Source organism: Homo sapiens, chromosome 7 (assembly GCF_000001405.40).
Source record: "Homo sapiens chromosome 7, GRCh38.p14 Primary Assembly".
In the NCBI taxonomy this organism is placed as follows: Eukaryota; Metazoa; Chordata; class Mammalia; order Primates; family Hominidae; genus Homo; species Homo sapiens.
In genome coordinates, this window is record NC_000007.14 from 35711154 (window position 1) to 35727770 (window position 16617).

The 16617-nt window shown below is 41.1% G+C and overlaps 1 long non-coding RNA gene across 2 annotated transcripts; it reads left to right on the forward strand.

The window, feature by feature from the left end:
* The first annotated feature begins 5283 nt into the window (after positions 1-5283).
* Positions 5284-8559, forward strand: LINC03013 (long intergenic non-protein coding RNA 3013). Of its 2 annotated transcripts, NR_108082.1 has the most exons (3): positions 5284-5715; positions 5878-5975; positions 7917-8559. It is a non-coding gene; the product is annotated as a long intergenic non-protein coding RNA 3013 (long non-coding RNA). The 2 variants fall into 2 exon arrangements; NR_108083.1 differs by lacking the exon at positions 5878-5975.
* The last annotated feature ends 8058 nt before the right edge of the window (positions 8560-16617 follow it).

Here is a 16617-nt window from a genome sequence, read left to right on the forward strand (position 1 = left end):
AGGAAAAGATATAGTTATGAGTTAAAGAATACATTGTTTTAAATATTCAAATAAATGAGGGGGAAGAAGTAATATAAGATTATGGATCCCAGATTTGACATTAATTTCATATCATGTACTTAATTCACAGAGTTCTCTGCAGAAGGGGAAAGGATTAAGGAATCTCATAGGTGATCAGGGAGAGAGTGGATCTCAGCTATCTTCTACCAAGTGAAGACAGATCCACACAAAACCCTACATAGCCTTCTGCAATTTGCTATTTTTACCTAACATTTTATTTTTAAGATTAAATACTACATTTATTTTTTTTAATATAGTAATGCTACATTTACCATCAGTCTTCGTTCGCTTTAATTTAGACCTGAAGCTCAGTTTTCCCTATTTTTGCTTGTTCACTGCACAGTCTGGCCACATAAAAATTTACATCTACTGGAGAAAATGAAGGATTGCAGACAATTTCTTGAAATGCAGCTATGATTTTAATCTTATCTGTTTAGCATGAAGAAACAGATTAAGAAGAAAGGCATATTTTCAGAATTTATTATATAGTTTTGAAAGATAAAGACATATGTATGTTTATGTTCATCGCAGCACTACTCACAATAGCAAAGACATGGAATCAACCTAAATGCCCATCAGTGGTTGACTGGATAAATAAAATATGGTACATATATACTATGGAAACCTATGCAGCCATAAAAAAGAATGAGATCATATCTTTTGCAGGGACGTGGATGGAGCTGGAGGCCATTATCTTAAGTAAACTAACACAGAACAAAATGCCAAATACACAATGTTCCCACTTATAAGTGGGAGCTAAACAACAAGAACACATGGATACTAGAAGGGGAACAACAGACACTGGGGCCTACTTGAGGGGGAAGTGGGGAGGAGGGAGGGAATCACAAAAGAATACCAATCAGGTAATATGTTTATTACCCAAGTGACAAAATTATTTGTACAAAAAACCCCTGTGACACACAGTCTACCTATATAACAAACTTGCACATGTATCCCTGAACCTAAAATACAAAAAACAAAAAGCAAAATAAAAATAATCTAAGCTATTCAAGTAATGACCCAAAAGTTCTTCTATATGTTAGGAAGACCAGTAAATGCATTACTAAGCAGCTAGGCTGAGATAAGGGTGAGAGAAAGAGAGCTTTGGTGCTAGGATTTAATGGTCCTGTAGTCTAGTCCTGACTCTGCTGTCACAGTTTATTTAACTTCTTTGGGCTCTCAATTTTCTCTATAACATTAATCAGTTGGCCAGGCTCAGTGGCTAAAGTCTGTAATACCAGCACTTTGGGAGGCCGAGGGGGGTGCGGATCACCTGAGGTCAGGAGATCAAGACCAGCCTGGCCAACATGGTGAAACCCCATCTCAACCAAAAATACAAAAATTAGCTGGGTGTGGTGGCACGCGCCTGTAATCCCAGCTACTCAGGAGGCTGAGGCAGGAGAATCGCTTGAACGTGGGAAGCAGAAGTTGCAGTGAGCCAGGATCATGCCACCGCACTCCAGCCTGGGCAACAGAGTGAGGCTCTGTCTCAATAAATAAAATAAAATAAAATATAAAATAAAATAAAATAAATAATAAAATAATAAAATAAAATAAAATAAATAAAATAAAATAAAATAAATCTGTTGGACCAGATGTCCTTGGTGCTAATTTTCAATGATCTGTGACATCATAAAATAAAAAATATAAAGACTAAAAATTTATTCTAGCTCACATGCTTTCATTTTCTGTATGAAATAAATTTTCATTATGATATGTTGGTGAAGAAAGTACATAGTGTATTAGTACCCATTTCTCAGGACACAGAGTATATTTAACTAACTTATTATATAGCCATGTAATTTTGCCTACATTGCACATTTTGTTCACATCTATACTTTATTTACTTCTGAGTCCTTGCTGATAGGCCTCTCTCCTGATTATGATATTGCTTTTGTGGTGAAATAGGATCCACTTCCATGATCTGTGCATTGGAGATTCAGGAGCACATTGTAGAGACTTCTCGATGTAGGTGAATGATAAGGACTACGGATGTAGGCATACTGTGTTAGAATCACCTGCAGATTATTTGGCAGTTTTTAAAATTATTCCTGGGTCCTTCTGTTATAAGGATAGGGCCCTTTACTAAAGCTGCAAGCTGCAGAATCCTCCTCAATCTTTTTATTTTTTAGCTTTTATTTTTTTTAAGCTACTCCTGCTGGAATGGGAACCTCCTCAATCTTTATCAGGAAAACAACAATAACAATCGAATTTTAGAGGTTTTTTGAATTCCTGATCACAGATACAAATAATTAGTGGTCTGGAAAGTAGTTAAGTGTAATAAAAAATATAATGTTCCTTATAACATTGAGAGCTTTATAGTAACACAAAGGATGCCACACCCAACCCACCTCACTCATCCTCCCGCTGTTAACAACCCTGGTCCGCAATTTCAAAAGAAATGGCCTAAAATTCTTTTTAAACCATCATTTACGTTGAAGCCAATTTAAAAGTGTGATCAGGGATATAGACAACACAAGTGCTAGAGCTATAAAATAAATTTTGGTGATTGCCCAGGCATTTAATATCTTTTTTTAACCAATATTCCCTTTCTAAAAATATAAATTTATATGAATAATGGATTATTTATAATGATTTGTCTTTGAGTAACCCTTTTCCCCTTCTTTGTCATAGAGGGAATAATCCTAATTTATTGCTGGGGGAGTTGTCCTATATTGTCTTATTTCAAAAAGAAACAATCTACTTTTGTGAAAAGCCATCCTAGCATGTAACATTTTAGCACACTGTTTCTCAAGATGTTTGCACTCACAGACACCAATTGTATCATGTCTTTGGGATATGATAAAATTATGTTTAAAATTCATGTTAAAGCTATAGGGTTTTTTTTTTTTTCTGATCTACGTATCAGCCTTACCTCCACGGACTTCACTAATTATATTTAAGGAATTAGAAAACTTCCTTCCTTAATTTTATTCTCATTAATTTTTCTAGGACATTTATTAAATAAAATGGGTTGTTAAAGTATGTTAAGTGTGTAGGGCATGTAACCAGTCAAATGTCAAGGTTCTGAGTAGGTTGGATTTCATGGTCAAGGATAATCTCTTTTAATATTCACAATCTCATTCTTACATATTCCCATCTCCCCTAAGTCTTTCATTTCACTTCTATTCATTCCTACTTACTCCTACTAATATCTCCGTTTAGATTCTCTCATCTGACCTTTCCCACACCTCTTGCCCCACAGTAAGTTTTATTTTCCCCTCTTAACACTAATCACATCTACTCTGATTTGTAGACATTTTTCACCTAAAGCCCAGCAAAGGAAACACTGTCAACCTGTCAAAAAAAAGTGCTGCAATTGTGGAGGACAGATAAACAGGTGGTAACAAAAGCATTCTAGTGAATCTGAGCCAGGCTGGGAACCTGCTGGGCTGGCCTGACTCAGAGGTGGTAAGAGAAGGCAACAGGAGGCAGGAGGCAGCCCCATCACTGTCCGTTCCCAGAGCAGGAATGAGGAGGGTGCTCCCCACCCCAAGGCAGCAAGGGGGAAAATTCTCTAAGGAAGAGTCCCAGCAAGATCAAATATCAGTGCCATGTCCAAGGGGTTAGAGAAATAACCAAAGTCAGTGTGGTAGGGCCATGAGTTTACCTTATGGTTTGGCTTTATGTGGGTATATGGAAGTGCCAGCAGTGAGCTGAGAGCTGCCAAGAGAGGCAGAAAGCAGGTGTGTCAGAGATTTGGGGCCTCAATGGAAGTGAAATGTGATGGCAGAAGAAGACACCACAGGAGTTGTTGAGGCATTGGTTAGGAAGTGAACAGCAGAACTGGCAGAGGCTGCTGGGCCTGTTGGGGTACCAGGAGTGACAGAGAAGACTGGCAGCTGCAGAGCAGGACAGACCAGATTGGCCAGTACAACAGCAGAGGGCCATGTTGGGCTTTGACTCAGGAATCCTGGTGGAGGCAATGATGAGAGAGAAGAGATAAAACACACTAGGTAAGCCAAGGTAGTTGTCAGGATAGAAGGAGACAGGCAGGCCAGATGGCTGTTAACCGTGTGGTGTGTCCCAACTTTCCAGCATCAATTTAATGGCCAAATTAAAATGTAAGTCAACTTAAGCCAAGGTCAATTTTAATCCTATGCTTTGCTGGTGATACAGAATCATTAACGGTATCAATAATGCCCACATTCAACTCATTCTACAATGGGGGCAATTGTAATTTTGGTCTGGATATGTTTAACAAAATGGAAAGGAAGAAGGCAAAACCACGGAACTATTTTTTTTTTTTCTTTAGACGGAGTCTTGCTCTATCTGTCACCCAGGCTGGAGTACAGTGGTGCGATCTTGGCTCACTGCAGCCTCCGCCTCCTGGGTTCAGGCAATTCTACTGCCTCAGCCTCCCGAGCAGCTGGGATTACAGGTGTGTGCCGCCACGCCCTGCTAATTTTTGTATTTTTAGTAGAGACGGGGTTTTACCATGTTGGCCAGATGGTCTTGATCTCCTGACCTCAGGTGATCCGCCCGCCTCAGCCTCCCAAAGTGTTGGAATTACAGGCGTGAGCCACCATTCCCAGCTGGAACTATTTTTTTAAACTGATGCACATTAATAAGATTTAGAAAATCTTGAGATTTAATGGACAGTGTTGAGATTCATATAACTTTATGTTGAGAATTCTCTTTCCAGGAATTATTTATTTCAGTTAGTCACATTTTTATCTTCTACTGAAGTGTAAACTTAATTTAGTGTAAATAACTACCATTTGAATACTAACATAATCTTTTTATTTGTATAAAAAATACAAAAAGATTGTTTATGTGTGTGTACACATATGTGTCAAGACTAAAAATTAAGCACGGGGTAAAGTCTTTGGCAAAGGACAAATAGTCGGCAAGTTCACAGATTAGAATTTAGAATTCCATCATGAAGTGGACTAAATTGTTAGTTTAAAGAAGACTGTGAGTGTCAGCACATAAAAAGGTAATCCTGTCTCAATTGTAGCTACAGATTGCAAGTCCTGTGTCAATTCAAATTTTTGCCAGCAGATACTAATGACTTCATTGAAAGCAGATGTTTAGAAATGAAAGTATAAACACAACCCCAGTTGATTAATATGCTTATTGTATTTCCTTGTTGTGAGTCTAGCGAATATTTGATTATCTTTAAGTTGATCCATAGTATATTCAACAGTCTCATGAGAACATAATTTTTGTTGATGATTTGTCCAAAGTTTCTATCAATCCATCTTAGCAGCAGAGCCAAGTGTTAGAGTTATTGCTGCCTGAGTTATAACAGCTGCCCTGGGAATCTTGTCTGAACAACAAGTTAACTGCTGTTCCCAGTTATATCTGGTCTTTCCCACCCCCAAACATACACAAAAGATTTTTGTCATTCTTGGCACTGGACAACAGAAGTGATAAGACATGCCAGCAGAACTCTAAAGGCAGAATGTCCTTCCACCTGTTTTATGCTGTAAGACAAACTTCCAAGTGCGAGGCAGTGTGGAGGGCTGTTGCCTTGAATGGCAGCTGAATGCACCAGCGGGATCCTTGGCAGCAATGCCCAGGCACTGAAGTCGGGCATTCAGGAGAGCTAAATGGAGAAAAGAAACTTGAGCAAACTGCTTCCTGGAACACTGAGAACCTGAATGGGAAATTAAGAAGAACCAGATTCTTTCTATTCTTCCACCAGCCAAGGTCAGATTTCCAAACTTCTATTGATTCTAATCTTTCCCAAACAGTGCTGTGGCAATGTATGAAAGTAATAAAAATAATCCTTTTTCTGTTAAAAAAAAAATTGCTGTTACTTGCTGTTTTGTTATGCTTTTGCTGGAGATTTTCCCACCCATCTTAAAGCAGCAACTTCAGGATGGGGGAATCAAGCAAAACCATGGTGAAGAGATTCATTTAAAGAGGACAAGTGATTTATTCTACATCTCAGGAGACAGTTCCTTAAGGTGAGAGGTGTTGCCTATGCCAACTTGCTTATTGCCTCTTTTGATGTTATCTTAGCAATAAGCTGGGGCTAATCGTCCCCAGTTTGGGAGACTTTGAGGCAGGGCTAACTGCCACAGTAAAAGACCCATTAACAGTAAGGAGGGTAAATGGATAGCAAAAAACCTAGGAGAATCCACAGGCTTTTGTTAATTTTATTCTATCTGCCTGGTGTTTCTGGAACTCTAGTTTCAAAGTTAGAATACCCAGAATCCCAGCAGCTGAGGAAAGTAATAACCAGTGTCTGGGGGCGAGGGTGGGGAGGGAAGCGAGGGTATAAAGAGGATGAGAATTCTTCTAGTTATTTTCAGTTTTTACTGAAACTGAAGCTTTCCTGAAACTTTAAGTTTTTAGGAAACTTAAAGATAATTGTTTGTTTACTTAAAATACAGCCTCAAGGATACTTTTAGTTTAAAAAAATTTCTTGACTACTTGATTTCCTCTTGGGAAGATTATTATTTAACAAAAATATGTATTTATAAACAAAATATTTCAGAACAGGAGTCTGTGGAGAAATAGTCTTAAAAGGACTTTTCAGCAGTGATAAGATAAGAAACACTGCCCTAAAGAAAACTGTTGGCTGGGCGCGGTGGCTCATGCCTGTAATCCCAGCACTCTGTGAGGCCAAGGTGGGCGGATTACCTGAGGTCAGGAGTTCGAGACCAGCTTGGCCAACATGGTGAAACCCCGTCTCTACTAAACACACACACAAAAAAAATTAGCCAGGCATGATGGCGCATGACTGTAATCCCAACTACTTGGAAGGCTGAGGCAGGAGAATCGCTTGAACCCGGGAGGTAGAGGTTGCAGTGAGCCAATATCGCACCATTGCACTCCAGCCTGGGCAACAGGAGCAAAACTCCATCTCAAAAATAAATAAATAAATTAATTAATTTAATTTAATTGTTTAAGGGGTGTCATTTTCCAAATTGTTTTTATGAAAAATTTACAAACAGTGGCTAGTGTCCCATTGTACTGTGTATCTAATTCAGTAAAAGTACTGAAGATTCAAAAAGATTGTTAGAGTGGTTGTGGAAAATTCCAGAGCTGCTGTCACCAGCAGAGCCTTCCTTTACTGAGTGTCTCAGTGCCAGTATAACAAATCCTAGACACTGGCTTTATTGGCCAGTGGTGCAAAGAAATAGTAAAAATTCAATAAAAATATTGCTTGAACCAGGAAGCCTCCTCATAGAGTTGTGGACTCTTCAGAGAGGTTTTACCAAAGTAAGGGCAGAATGTGTATACCGTCTTTCAGGGATTCAAGAAATGTAGGCAACAATGTCTATTATTAGCCCTCCTCTCCTTCCATGAGCAAAACCCAAATTACTTGTTTTTAATTGGCACAAAAGCACATTCAATCATTACATTATCAGACATTGTTCATGTACCTATCATATGCCAGGCTGTGTGCTAAGAGCTGGGGATCTGAAGATGAATAAAATGTACCCTGCCACAATCAGGATTGGCAACAACTGACCTAGGTGGCTCACCTGCATTGTCTGGATAACAAGCCAATTGGCACCTGAGGCCCCCAACCTTATCCCCACAGGAGGGGTTCGTCCAAACTGCTCATGAGACCAGTTTCTCCCTTCCACAGACCCCAGTGCCTTCAGGTGCTGAAAGTTGACTTTCCCAGGCAACTCAGAGAGCTGGTGTCTAACCCCACACTGATGTTACTCAATAAGTCTGATTACCCTCCCACCCACTAGGTTGTTCTCACTCTTGCCCTATAAGAAGGAGAGCAGCAAGGGGACAAGGAATGCCCACCGATGGTGTGTCCAATAGATAACTTTGGCCCATCTCTTATCTTTATTTGTTAATTCTTGCTTTGTAACTTTCCCCCAATAGAGCCCATGAGATTTCATGGAAATCATCACAAAATAACAAACCTTTTTGCGTGACAGGTGATGAGCACAAAAGGATCCATCTTATACAGTGCTTGCCAGCTTCCATAATACTACTCACCACGATGTTGAAATCACCTGTTCCAGAACCAGTCCTGTCCTTTGACAAGAAGGATTTAATTATCAGTAGTGGTGGGGACTGGCTGGAGAGAGGAAAAACACTTCAAGGACTCTGCCACCTTTCGTAGATGGAGAGTGCAAAGTTTGTACCATGGAACTCCTTCTCTAACAGTTACTCTGTGGCAGTGCCTATTTCAAACCTCCCTTAACTTCTGATTGTATAGATGTTTGTTTCATTTGTTCATCTGTTTGTTCACTTAGTCAGAGATGTTTTAAGCCTTAAGAGAAATAGTGGACTAGAAAATGCCTTGGAAAAGTACAAAGTTCAATCCAAGTAAACTGTTTTTAAACTAGGAATTTATGAAGCCTAAAATATAAAATGTATATACATGGATATGCTCTGAAGTGAGGTAGAGGGGTAGAAATCAACATTGTGATATTGTACTATAGTTTTGCAAGATGTTACCATTGGGGGAAAATGTTTGAAGGGTATACGGGATATCTCTGCCTTATTTCTTACAACTGCATGTGAATCTACAGTTATCTCAAAATAAAAATTTAATTAACAATTGATTACAATTAACAGCATTAATTTCTTATCCTGTCATTTTCCTTCTCCTGAAATTGCAGAATAGCCAAACAGAAACCTACCCATGACCACCATCTGAGATTCTTTGGTGCCCGTATTAGTGGACATAGGCAGGTGTATCAGGAGGCATCCAGTCACGCATACTGGAAGATACTGACTCAACTGATTTAAGCAAAGGAAAATACAGTGTATTATATAATGAGACATCTTGAGTAGGGTAGTCCTAGGGTCAGTTGATTCAGCAGCTTGATTGATAATCAAGGGCCCAAATTCTTTCCCACTTTCTACCCTGCCATCCTCAGCCTATCAGTTTCGTCCTCCAGCTGGCTTAAAGGTAGTTGCAAGGTGGCTGCTATCATGCCATGCAAAATGCAAATGCAAAAAGTATGCAGATACAAAAAGTATCTCTTTTCATAAGTCTCATTTTAAGGGCAAGGAAAAACCTGCAGGCCTTTCTGCCACTCTCTTGACCCACTTACTTAACTGTGGAACAAGTCACAAACACCTGTTTAAGTGGATCACTTGGCCAGGAGGGAGAGATTGCCATTATCCTTAGATGGAGGAGAATGGGGGTGGGGGTTGTTATGCCTGAACATAATCAGTGCTCTGCCAGTGAGTAAGAGCAGAGATGGGGTGATTAATAGGCAACCCCTCACCAAGGAGCCATTGTAAAGCTTCAGGCCAGTTCAGAAGGTGATGAAGATGGAAAGCCTCCAAAGCAACCAGAACAACCAGAAGGAACACGCTTTTACAGCTTGCTTCTGATTCCACACCGCGAGGACAATGGGTCCAGCATGCCACACTGATCCAGGAACTTAGAACTAAGTAAGAAGCAAGGGAGAGAGGCTGCTATAGCTGAAACCCAGAGAATGAACTTTCTCCCAGGAGGTTGCAAGGGCTGCCCTTGTAAAAGATCCTGTCCTGGGTTTAAAGGTTAGCAAATTTTCTGTTTTGTTTTGCTTTGACTGCATGAGGGTTGAGTTAAAGTGAAATAATATTTAAGACTTATTTTTTAAATAAGATATTTTATGTTTTTATTTTTGTTTTTTTTTTTTTTTTTGGTTGGTAGAGACAGGGTCTCACTGTGTTGCCCAGGCTGGTTTTGAACACCTGGGCTTCTAATCCTCCTGCCTCAGCCTCCCAAAGTGCTAGCATCACAGGCATGTGCCACCACACCCAACCCCTTAAAAGTCTTTTTACAAATGAGAACATGAACAATTGCCTTTCAGATTATTTCCTGGTCATCAAAGATTTCTTTCTTTATTTACATAAAGGGGACAGGGGTCAGTCTGTGTATTGGAAGATGTGCCCATATTTGGTCACATATTGGAAGAGTACAAAATTGCCCAAATAAGGGATATTTATTGCCTTCCTGACTGCAGACTCAAGGAGGCAGGAACTTTGACATTTTCTCCAATGCCTATCTGTATCCACATTGCCTGTAACATAGTATATGCTCAATAAATATTGATTGAACTAATTAAAAAATGTCATTCTCTACTCCCAAACTATAAAAACCTGGAAGGGTATATTCTTGCTGGATGGGAGCCTGAAGAAGACAGGAAGGGAGCTAAAGATATCTCTCTTAGTCATTCTCTGTGTCCGACATATGCCCACATGTATAGTCCTAAATGCCACTGTCTCTCAGTTGGTTTCTATCAGGACCTAAGCCCTGTGGAGACAGCAGCTTGCAGAGTCTCTAGCCCAGGGAAGCAAGAGGTGGGCCAGATGGAATCCCCCAGCTCAGGGAAGGTCTTACCTATCCATGCATTTGAGGAAGGAGGAAGTGGGACAGTCATTCACCAGTCTAAATCTTACTGCTAAAACTAGACCGAGTGCTACATCTCCAAATCTGGAGGGCCAGGATATCTGTCACACAGGCAGGCCAAAAATTGTTCTTCCCAGGGTGGGGACAGTGGAAGCCATATAAACACTTGCCAATTAGTTCATCTACATTTTAAAAAGGTGCAGAAAATTCTTGTTCCTTTCCGCTGGAGGAACTTTACAAATGACCTTGACAAAAACCCCTCAAAACCTATAGAACCAAATTTTATTATAACGCTCTTTTTATTCCCTTGCTTCTATTTCCTCCTTTCTCTTCTTTTTCTATTTCTTTTCCTTTCTCTTTCTTTACATTTCTCCCTCTTTCTTCCTGCTTGTCCAGCTTTTCTTCCTCTTCCCCCTTTAAGGTGATACTTTGGGACTGAAAGTATATTTTAATATTTATCTAAAGCAGTTGTTTCTTTGTCCATGGTTCCCTGACCCTTCACAGAAAATAATTCTTCCATCCTAAATTGACTTTTATGATAGTTATCTAAAGATTTAAGGATCCAAATATGTACAAGTCAAATACAATAAAAGGAAAAAAATCATTTAAAGACTAACATTTAAGCATTTTAGCCTCTACTATTTTAAAATTAGAGTTCAACTCGATGCCATTTATATTTGAACTCCTAAAATTACAACCATCATCTGCATTTTACAGGCTTCCCCTATCTATGCAGACATTTCCTGTTCTGTCTTCTCTTTCCCCAGAGACCCATTACAACTTGCTTATCGTTGGGTAGAGGTTATATCCAGGGAAGAGGGAACCGAGGAGAAGTGGAGGAAAGGAGGAAGGCATGAGATGTTGGCCCTAACCTAGATTGGTATGTTTACTCTCATCCGACTGGGTTGACTTTAGAATGAAAATGTTTTCCCACTTAATTAATTTAAAATTAGTTATTCAAATATGTTTTTCAAAACTCAGTACAATTATGTATATCACACTTGTGCAAAACATCACCAATTCTCAAACCCCAGATCTACAGATCTGAGGTCAGCAATTCCAGCTAACACTTATATAGTGCTTCCCATGTGCCAGACACTGTGCAAAGCGTTTCATGTGTATTGACTCATTTCATCCTTCAACAGCCCTGCAAGGCAGGTATTAGTCAGCTTGGGCTGCCATAACAAAACACCATGGACTAGGTGGCTTAAACAACGAACATTTATTTTCTTACAGTTCCAGAGACTGGAAGTTCAAGACCAAGGTATAGCAGAGCTGGTGTCTGGTGAGGGCTCTCCTCGTAGGTGGCAGACAGCTGCCTTCTCACTGTGTGCTCACCTGGCCTTTCCTCTGTGTTCCTCAGAGTGAGTGAGCTCTCTGGTGTCTCTTCTTATGAAGATACTAATTTATGGGATCAGGGCTCCATCTTTAACACCTCATTCAACCTTAATTACTTTCTTAGAGCCACCATATCCATATCCAAATACAGCTACATTGGGGGTTAGGGGTTCAACATATGCATTTTGGGGGACACAAACATTCAGTCCACAATGGTAGGTAATATTGTACTCCCTATTTCTCAGGTTAGGAAACTGAGGCCACACTGATTGAGTAATTTGCCCAATGTCACACAAATAATAAGTGTCAATACTGGGACTTGAACGCCAGCATCCATACTTTTAACCACTATGCTGTGCTCTCTCTCATCATGAGTCATGACGATGATCACGTTAGATTGTGTTAGATGATGTTAGATCATGAGTCATGATCTAACATCTAGCAACCCATCAACATCATCAACATCTAACAAATCCAATCCTTTGAACCTATTATAGAATCATCAGAGCTTTACCACGCTTTTTAGAAAAAATTTCCCTACAAGAATACAGTCTCTCACTATTATTATTATATTAGAGATAGATTTCTATATTATCAAATTTAGAGCAAATAACTTATATTTGCTATCAACTAGCTCTTAAAATGATTATATCTTGATTACTCTAGTAAACAAACATCATCTATTTCTCTCTACATTTAAACTATTAAAACTCAACAATAAGAAAACAACTCATTTGAACAGTGGGCAAAAGATCTTGACAAGACATGTCATCAAAGAAGATATGCAGATAGCAAATAAGCATATGAAAAGATGCTTCACATCATATGTCATCAGGAAAATGCCAATTAAAACAACAGTGAGATACCACTACACAAACCTATAGGAATGGCCAAAATCCAGAATATGACAACCCCAGATGCTGCCAAGGGTGAGGAGCAACAGGAATTCTCATTCATTGCTGGTGGGAATGCAAAATGGTACAGCCACTTTGGGAAACATGTTGGCAGTTACTTATGAAACTAAGTTTCTATATCATAACACAAGTAGATATAAATATAACCAGTGGTAGGGTTTTTTTAGAGGCTGTATTATTTTTTAAGAATTTAAAGCTTTAAACCCAAATTTCTACTCAGAAAGATGAGCATTGTAATTTGATGAGATTACCCTTAGAATTCTTGCCAGTCAATGACTGCTTTTACACCAACTTACAGATTGTGCTGTGTTCAAATACATACTGAGGGGAATCTGATGAACTGACTGGCAACAGTCTTCAAATTCTTAAAGGTGAGGGGAAGAGTGCATCAGGTAAGAGCAAAGCTCCCGGAATCGGGATATCCAGGTCTGAATCTTGACTCTGCTGTGTCCTTGAGTGAGCTACTCAACTTGTCTACACCTCAGTTTCTTCATTCGTAAAATGAAGCTATGGTAGCTTCTACCTTATATGACGATTGACTGATAGGCTCCATGTTGAGTGTAAATTAAATAGTGCCTGGATAAGTACTCACTAAAGAATCGTGTTTTTTTTTTATTGTAAATTTCCAAAGAGAATGTTTTATACTTTTTAAAAAGTGTTTTTATTCCCCAATGCCCCTAACAGGAAATGACACCATCATTGTTACATGAGAAAATGATAAATGTTTTGAGAGGTCAATGTTCCACCCCAACTCATTCTCAGTGTTACTATTTTCACCAGGAAACAGTAGAAGTGACACAGGAGGTGGCCAGGGAAGTGCTGGGTAGACAAGGGTGGGGTTCCTGGCGAGGGCTCCACCCTCAGGCTTGTGCCCATGGACCTAAGTAAGAACAGGCACCCGTGTTTTCATGCCCAAATGTTGCATTTTCCAAGACCACTCTGGCCTGCCACACCCCCATCCTGTGCCCATAAAAACCCTGAGACCCTAGCGGGCGTGGACACAAGCAGTTGGACGTTGAGAGGAGCAGAGGAGCAGAAGAGCGCACCGACAGACACCAGCAGACAACAGCAGGCCATTGAGGCAAGACGATGCAGAAAATTCGGTCGGGGCAGTCAGAGGAGAGTCCAGCCGCTGGACAGCCTGACTCCAGGGGAAGACCGCCTTCCCACTCCATCCCCCTTCTGGCTCCCCATCCACCTTGCTGAGAGCAACCTCCACCACACAATAAAACCTTGCACCGATCTTCCAAGCCTACATGTTATCCGATTCTTTCCGGTACGCTAGGGCAAGAACTGAGGATACAGAGGCCCTCTGTCCTTGTCATACGGCAGAGGGTCTAATTGAGCTGGTTAACACAAGTTGCCTGCAGACGGCAAAACTGAAAGAGCACACTGTAACACATGCCCACTGGGGCTTCAGGAGCTGTAAATACTCAACCCTAGGCACTGCTGTGAGGTCGGAGCTCCATGGGTACCTTTTAACCACAAGTTTCAGCATTTCTTTTCAAGGAGAACTTATGTCTGGAAATATGGATGGAAGATGAACCGAGGACTCGTCTTTAACACCGCATGCTACTCTACTAAAGACTGAGAAAAATGTCAGTTGTCCGGAGCTCCCCACGACCTGTCTGCATGCTCCCCCTAGGGGTTTGAGCAGTGGGACACTGAACATGCGAGCCGCACATCTGTCGCATGTCCTGCCAGGGAGATAAGGAAACTTTCTGTTTCAGAAGTTCTACTTTGAGGCAAAACCAGGCCTCACATGGGCAAGAACATTGCTAGACCTCAGGCCTTGCTCTTAAACAGCAGCTGCGTACCCCAGCCCTGCACGGGAAGTGGGGAGGAGCTCTTGCTTCTTCCCACAACAAACAGGTTCTCACCTGTGCAGCTCCTGTGAATTACATGACATCAATGTGTATGTAGGTTCTTTTTTTATTTTTTTTTTATTTTTACTATTTTTATTTTTATTTTTTGAGATGGAGTCTTGCTCTTTCACCCAGGCCGGACTGCAGTGGCGCTATCTCGGCTCACTGCAAGCTCCGCCTCCCGGGTTCATGCCATTCTCCTGCCTCAGCCTCCTGAGTAGCTGGGATTACAGGCGCCTGCCACCACGCCCGGCTAATTTTTTGTATTTTTAGTAGAGATGGGTTTTCACCGTGTTAGTCAAGATGGTCTCGATCTCCTGACCTCGTGATCTGCCCGCCTCGGCCTCCCAAAGTGCTGGGATTACAGGCGTGAGCCACCGCACCCGGCCAATGTGTATGTAGGTTCTATCTTTTAGGGAAAGACACTGTAATGTGGAGCATTTCTCTTCAGAATCTACTTAAAACCAGATATTTCAGTTATTAGAGTGAATTAAAACTATTAAGTAGCACATAAAATATATTTTGACCAGTCAAACCTAATTGTAGACTGTTAGTGTAGACACCCATCAGCACACCTACACTCTCACAGACACAAGAGTATCTGTTTGTCTCTGTTGATATGGTTGGGAAGTTTTGCTTTGTGACCTGGGGAGTAGAACCAAGTGTTGCTGAGAGAGCTAAGAACCAAGAGGAGGAGGTTGGAAGGATGGTATGGATTCTCTTCCTTCCTAGCTCTTTGGATTTGGTTTTAGACCCCAATGGTTAGATGCATAAGAGCCAGAAAGCAGGGAAACTGTCCACAAAAAACCCTTTATGGTTCTCAGTTCCAAGCATCATTGCTTCAGCTCCCAGGTGACAAAGTGTAGCTCAGTGCTGAGATGAGAGGCCATTTTCCCTGCTTGTGCATAAAACCCCCTCTGCTTTGACAACCTGAGGACTGGCTGGGCTGGCAGGCCACTACAAGATGCATGGCACTAGCTTCCTCTTCTTAGGTGAGAGTCACCTGGGGTATGGACAGTGGGTCCGGCACTGGGGGAAGCACAGCAACCGCCCTAACAGACTCCTCCCAGAATCTCACACACTTCCAATGGACCAGCTTTCCCTCACCCCCACCAGGCAGCACAGGGCAGGACTGTGTTTTGAGCTTAATCAGCACTGCTTTCATGATGGGCTGTGACAACACTGAGGATTTCCATGTGGCCCTGCAGAAAGCAGACCTGGAGGAACCAGAGCAGGAGAGAAAGGACCAGGTGGATCCATGCGGTTATGGCAGCTGGTTTATAAACACGAATGACACACCCCATTGGAGACGCCCAGAAATAGCTGGAGGACACTGAGGTCAAGCTAAGAGTATGTTGTTACCTTTGTAATTTGGACATCAAAAGGAAATGTAACCTGATTTTATATGGTCTGGAGAGACCTGGACATGCTGTAATTAAACTATAATTGCAATTAATGGGCTACTTTGTGAGTAACCTAATCTCATGAAAAAAATGGGTGGCTTACAATAAAATAAGGAGATTGGTGACTTATAATAAAATAAGGGGATGACAGCCATAGCTGAAACATCTATAAATTTGGAAAACCAAGACTCAAGCAAAAAACATTTGAATTGAATTATGCAAAAAAGAGGAAAAATACAAGCTCTGGAAGAATGAAGCCTGCGCCATGGGTACCTTTTAACCACAAGGTTCAGCATTTCTTTTCAAGGAGAACTTATGGCTGGAAATATGGATGGAAGCTGAACAAAGGACTTGTCTTGAACATTGCACACTACTATACTAAAGACTGAGAAAAATGTCAGTTGTTCCTATCAAAGGATGAGGGGGTTGATGGACATCAGCACCTTTGGCATCATTGTTGATTCCAGAGTGTCCTTAGTTTTTGAGCCACCTCCAAGCAGCCTTGTCAATCACTGCAAGATGCATGCCACTGGCTTCCCCCTCTCAGGCGAGAGCCACCTGGGGTACAGACAGTGGGTCCAGCACTGTGGGAGGCATGGCGACAGCCCTCACAGACTCCTCCCATAATTTACACACACTTCCAATAGACTGGCGACCCCCACACCCCCACCAGGTTCCAATGAGAAACACTTTCTAAAGAACTCTCTCTTGTTAGAACAGCTTCCCTGAGCACAGGAACCAGGGAAGCAATCAGCATCAGCTCA